Source organism: Homo sapiens, chromosome 1 (assembly GCF_000001405.40).
Source record: "Homo sapiens chromosome 1, GRCh38.p14 Primary Assembly".
In the NCBI taxonomy this organism is placed as follows: Eukaryota; Metazoa; Chordata; class Mammalia; order Primates; family Hominidae; genus Homo; species Homo sapiens.
In genome coordinates, this window is record NC_000001.11 from 31,511,712 (window position 1) to 31,517,711 (window position 6,000).

Genomic DNA, 6,000 nt, shown 5'->3' on the forward strand with positions numbered 1-6,000 from the left:
CTTGCTTATGCCCAAACACTCAGAATATAAGAAGCACGGATTATGGGTACGATACTTAGGGGTGTGAGCAGGCTTTGGGAAATGTGAACTCTTTCCAGATGGAAGACATTCCAGTGAGTTTTCTTTGCCCCTGGGGGGTGGGAGAGGGTGAGTGGGTCTGAGTATGTAAGTCACAGGTCTCCAGGTCTAACCAACCAGTGGCGGGGTGAGTAGTTTGGTGGGAAGGACAGTTAGGAACAGGTAACTAAAGGTGAGTTAGGTCAGAGCAGGTGACCAGGGGTGATTCAGGTCAAAGCAGGTGACTGGGATGAGTCAGGATGCAGAGCAGGTAACCAGGGGAACAGATGTGAACTGCTGATTAAAACTGGGGGGAAATGTTGTTTACTGAAACTACGGGGAAGTTAAACTTTAAAATGGAGGACAAAGAACTGAACATATTGACATATTGATTCTTTGAAGAGAAATTTTGAACTCATTGTATCCAACAGGAGGATCACGTGAGCCCAGCAGTTTAAGGCCAGCCTAGGCAACATAGAAAGACTCTGTCTTATTTTTAAAAATAAAATAAAATAAAAATGACAGAAATGTATTCTCTCATAGTTTTGGAGGTTAGAAGTCTGAAGCCAAGGGTTGGCAAGGTCACTCTCCCTCTGAAGGCTCCAGGGAAGAATATTTCTTTGCCTCTTGCATCTTCCAGTAGCCCCAGGCCTTTTCTGGCTTCCGGCAGCATAACTCTAGTCTCTGCCTCACAACGTTTTTCTCTTTGTCTCTGCGACCTCTTGTCTTCTTATAAGGACACCAGTCATCCAGTGGACACAAATTTTGTGGGGGCATGATTTAACTTCAACCTCCAACCCCCTGCCGCAGGTCACCCTTTGGCCCTTATGGCCTCCAAGTCTTGCGGCTGGAGCTCACTTCTCAGCCTGGGGTCATCTGTGTCTACTTTCCATAGCACCAGGATTCACCTCTGCTGGTGGTTCCCAGGTTCTCTCTCCAGCTGTGACCTCTCTCCCACACTCCAGACCTGAAAATCTCACAGCCTCTTGATCACCGACCCAAGGATGTACCACAGTTCACTCAGATTCAACACAAGCCAAAGGGAGCCCGCTATGGGCCCCCATCTAGCGGAAGGGCTGCTTCCCTTAGCCAGAGTGTACCTCACTCCTCAGCTAGAAATCTGGGCTTTGTCCTCCATTTTGAACTTCTCCATCACCTCCCTCATCAATGGGCCACCAAGTCATTCACACTGGAGGTGGTAGAGAAAGCCAACTGTGTGCCAACAGCTTTTTTTTTTTTTTTTGAAATCCTTCCTGTTCTACCCCCAGAATGTCTCATGCACACAGCCCCTCCCTTCTTCCCTCTCTCCCAGGTCACTGTCAGGTTCCAGCCCCTCACTAGTTCTCTCCAGAGCCAGCATAACAGCCTGGTGGCCTCCCTGCTGTGGTCTCATTTTCTCTAATCCATTGACCACATGACCCCACAAGCTCCTTCTTTTTTCTTTTTTTTGGAGACAGTCTCGCTCTATCCCCTAGGCTGGAGTGCAATGGCATGATCTTGGCTCACTGCAACCTCTGCCTCCTGGGTTCAAGTGATTCTCATGCCTCAGCCTCCTGAGTAGCAAGGACTATAGGCATGCGCTACCATGCCTGGCTAATTTTTGTATTTTTAGTAGAGACGGGGTTTCACCATGTTAGCCAGGCTAGTCTCGAACTCCTGACCTCAGGTGATCCACCTGCCTTGGCCTCCCAAAGTGCTGGGATTACAGGCATTTGCCACCACACTTGGCCACCACAGAGTCCCTTCCAATGTGCTCTCCTGAGCCTGATGCCCACTGTGTAATCCCATTTGCGGCAGCCCATATATGCAGGATAAAGTCCAAGCTCCCTAGTGTTATGGGATCTTTGGGGTGTCAATTTTTTGGCTGGAAACATCTGTGGCCACAGCACCTTTGCCCAAGTTCTTGTCCTGTGTCCAGGAAGAATGAGGTATGCAGACAAGCAAAGAGCGAACAAGATGAAGAAGAGTTTTATTTAGTGTTACAACAGCTCAGAGACTGGCAGTGTGTAGCTCCTCTCTGCAGGCAGGTCATCTGTCCAGTGTTCAGTTCTCAGCAGAGAGGAGGCCTCGGAGAGGGTGGCTCCTCCCTGCCAGCAGGTTGTCTCTGTAGCTCTCAGTGGAGAAGGTAGCTCCTCTCTGCTGCTAGTCATCCCATCATCTCCAGCTATCAGCAGAGAGTACTCCTCTCTGCAGCTGGTTGTGCCATTGTCTCTCTGCTCTCCTCATCCTCTGGCCATCCTCTGATCTGCTCTGGCTGAGCCTAGGGCTTTTATGGACCTTTTATCAGGGAGGAAGTCCATGCCAATTGGTCCACGGGCAGCCATGGGTGGGCTGGAAGAGGCACCATGAGTCCCCACTCCAGTCCATGGGACTGGCAGCCTGGCCCGCAGCCTTCAGGCCTTCCCTGACCTGAAAGTGGGGTCTTACTGGGGACCTGCCCCCTTCTGCCCAGGACTCTGTCTGCCTCCCGCTGCCATTCAAGGCCCCAGGGCTTGGCCCCAACCCCGCTCTGAGATGGGAGCAGGTGCCAGGAGCAGATAGAGGCCAGGCAGCGGGAGCAGACACCCCTGAGCCTGCAGGCCACCACTGGGCCCTTCGTCCCACCAGCAGAGGGAGAGCTGACCTTCTTCTCTTACATTCTCAGCACCTGTGAGGTGGAAGGGGATGCTTTTATGATCACTTCCTGAAAGAGAGGCTCACAGAACTGAACTGATGTGCTTGTCATCACACAGTGGAGGACTGTCTAACACCAAGTCTCTCATTCCCTTGGTGGCCAGCCCCTCTCAGACCTCAGCAAGTCCCTCTGGGCCTTCATGGGAGAGCAGTGTCCAAGGAATGCGGTGTCACGCTTGCGGCTCTGCCAAGGGCTTCTTCTTCGGGCTCTGCCTCTAGCTGCTTCTGACAGAGGCGGATTCATCATGAAGCAAACGCGGCTGAACCCCCCAGTGGTCTTCATTCTTCTCCAACCCCTTTCAAGACCCAGGGATGGGCTCAGCAATTCTGTTTTAATAATTTTGCATTCTGTCCCTTAAATCATAAAGAGAGCCCCCAATCTGTAAAGCTTCTGATCCCACACAACCTCTCAGGGCTCCAGGGTCCTGAGGAGGATGGCCAGGTCACTGTGGGCCTGTGGTGGAGCCAGCGGGCACCCAGGGCTTCCTGGTGGGCCAGGTCCCTGGTCATAGACTGAGCCAGCCAGCATCAGCCTCCGATCTCCAGGCCCCTGCGGTGAGGGCCCCAATGCCCCTGATAAGGCTCTGCTCCTAAAGGGCTGTTGGCCTTGAACAAGCTGCTCTCCTGCCTCAGTTTCCACTTCAGGATGGAGACATGAATGAGAGAAGTGTCCCTGAAACTCCTGATGGCTTTCCATTTCCTGGTTTCCTGTCTTTCCTGAGGCTGAATTCTTCGCCTGCTTTCTCTGAGATCCCTCACTTTCCTGCCAAGAAATTTCCTCTTTAGTCTGTTCAGAGTGAAGTGCAAATCAAAATAAAAAAGTGCAAGTTCAAAGTGCAATCAAAACAAACAAACAAACTTTGGCTAAGGCAAAACCAAACCAAAACAAAACAACCCAACTATCTCTTTTAGTAGAGTTTTGACGCTGCAGCATGTGTTGAATAGAGCCCATGTGAGTTAGGCTGCCCAGGGCCTGAGTGACATTGCGTACTGTGGGGAGTGTGTGCTTTTGTTCAAGCGGTGGCTCTCAGGAAGCCAGGAGGAGATTTGGACAAAAGTTGGAAAGGTTGGAAGAATATGTAAGCTTGGACTGACATGGCTGATTGGGTTTGGGCCAGTTTGAGCTGGTTTTATCTGGTTGGATCCAATACAGTACGGACTCGGGAGGCCAAGGAAGGTCTTGGCAAGTTTGGACCAGTTTTTGCCATTTGAGCTGACTTGGGCTGGCTTGAGCTGGTTGCTCATCACAGTGGCAAAAAAGAAGAACCCTTGGGCAGGGGTGTTCAGGGTCAGGAGTGGAGGAAGGGAAGCTATGCTCATTGTTCGTGGCACTTGGTAGAGCTGTGCATCTTTACAAAAGCAATTTACAGTACAGGCACCCCTCATTTTCTTGCACTTGCTTTGTTGCACCTGCAGATATTTGTTGTGTTTTTGTTTTGTTTTGTTTTGTTTTACAAATTGAATATTTTGGCAAAAGTTTGTGGCAACCCCTTGTTGAGCAAGTGTACTGACACCTTTTTCCCTAAAGCATGTGCTCACTTTGTGTCTCTGTGTCATGTTTTGGTAATTTTTACAATATTTCAAACTCACTCTTTTCTTTCTTTTTTTCTGTCTCTCTTTCTTTCTTTTCCTTCCTTCCTTCCTCCTTTCTCCTTTCCTTTCCTTTCCTTTCCTTTCCTTTCCTTTCCTTTCCCTTTCGGGTCTAGCTTTGTTACCCAGGCTGCAGTATGGTGATGCAATCTTGGCTCACCCCAACCTCTGCCCAGGTTCAACTGATTCTCGTGTCTTTGCCTCCCAAGTAGCTGGGACAACAGGTGCAAGGCACCACGCCCAGGTAATTTTTTTTTTTTTTTTGTATTTTTATTAGAGATGGGGTTTCGCCATGTTGGCCAGGCTGGTCTCGAACTCCTGACCTCAAGCGATCTGCCCATTTCAGTCTCCCAAAGTGCTGGGATTACAGGTGTGCGCCACCACACCCAGCCCAAACTTTTTCATTTCTACTGTATCTGTTATGGTGATCTGTGATCACTCATGTTTGATGTTTCTATTGTAATTGTTTTGGGGTGCCACAAATTGCACCCATATAAGACAGAGAACTTAAGAAATATTGCATGTGTTCTAACTACTACATCAATCAGTGGTTCCTCTACTCCTCTCTCCTTCTCCTCAGGCCTCTCAATTCCCTGAGACCCAACAATATTAAAATTAGGCCAATGAATAACCCTAAAATGGTCTCTACATGTTTAAGTGAAAATGTCACACATCCCTTGCTCTAAATCAAAAGCTAGAAATATTAAACTTAGTGAGGTAAGTGTATTGAAAGCCAAAATAGGCCGAAAGGTAGGCCTCTTATACCTAACAGCGTAGTTGTGACTGCAAAGGAAAAGTTATCCTCAGCCTTTCATGTGTATTGGCTTATTCAGTCCTCATAACAACCCTACCAAGTAGCATGTGTTAGCCTCACCATTTGGCAGAGGAAAATGGAAGCACAGAAAGGTCAAGTACTTGCCCAGATCAGCAGCAGAACAGGCTCAAAGGTTGGCAGTCTGGTTGCAGAGTCCATGAACTTCACTACCACACTCCACAGCAGTTGTGAGACCATGGGCAAGCCATCTAAACTTTTGAACTTTAATATCTTCATCCATAAAATGGGGACGATAATACCCTGCCCCATTGCCCAGTGAGTGTGTACACCCTTAACTCGGTGCATAGGCTTGGGTTGGCTTGATCCGGTCTCATTCATTTCTCCCCACCTGACCCTACACTTGAGTCAGAGTATCTCATGTTGGCTGAGCTTGAAGTATGCAGGAGCACACCCCAGAAAGGCCAGGGCACAAGCCCTGCTTGGGGTGGAGCAGGGAGGGCCTGCTCTGCCCCACTGGGGTGTTCTTAGGTGGAAGTGGGTGTGGGATGGTCCCTCTGGGAGAACTCTCTCCCTCCAGCCTCCCTGCAGAGTCACCCAGGGAACTGAATCACAGCACAAGTGAAATGGGAAAAGTTCCCTTATCCCCCTCGCAGGGCCTGCAATGGGGGTGTGGCTCGCTTCTTTGGTACCCTGCTGCTCAAACCTCTAGGGGGAGCATGCAGATGGGCAGGTTGTGGGGCTTCAACCCCACGGCAGTGTCTAGGGGTGAATGCTTACAGTTCCTGAAGCCCCAATGGGTGTGTGTTACAGAGCGCTCTTTTAGTTTTGCTATCTGTAGGCAGCTTGTGTTAATCAGCTCGATTAGATCCTCTGCCTTATCACAAGGACAGAGGGCTTTCTGTATC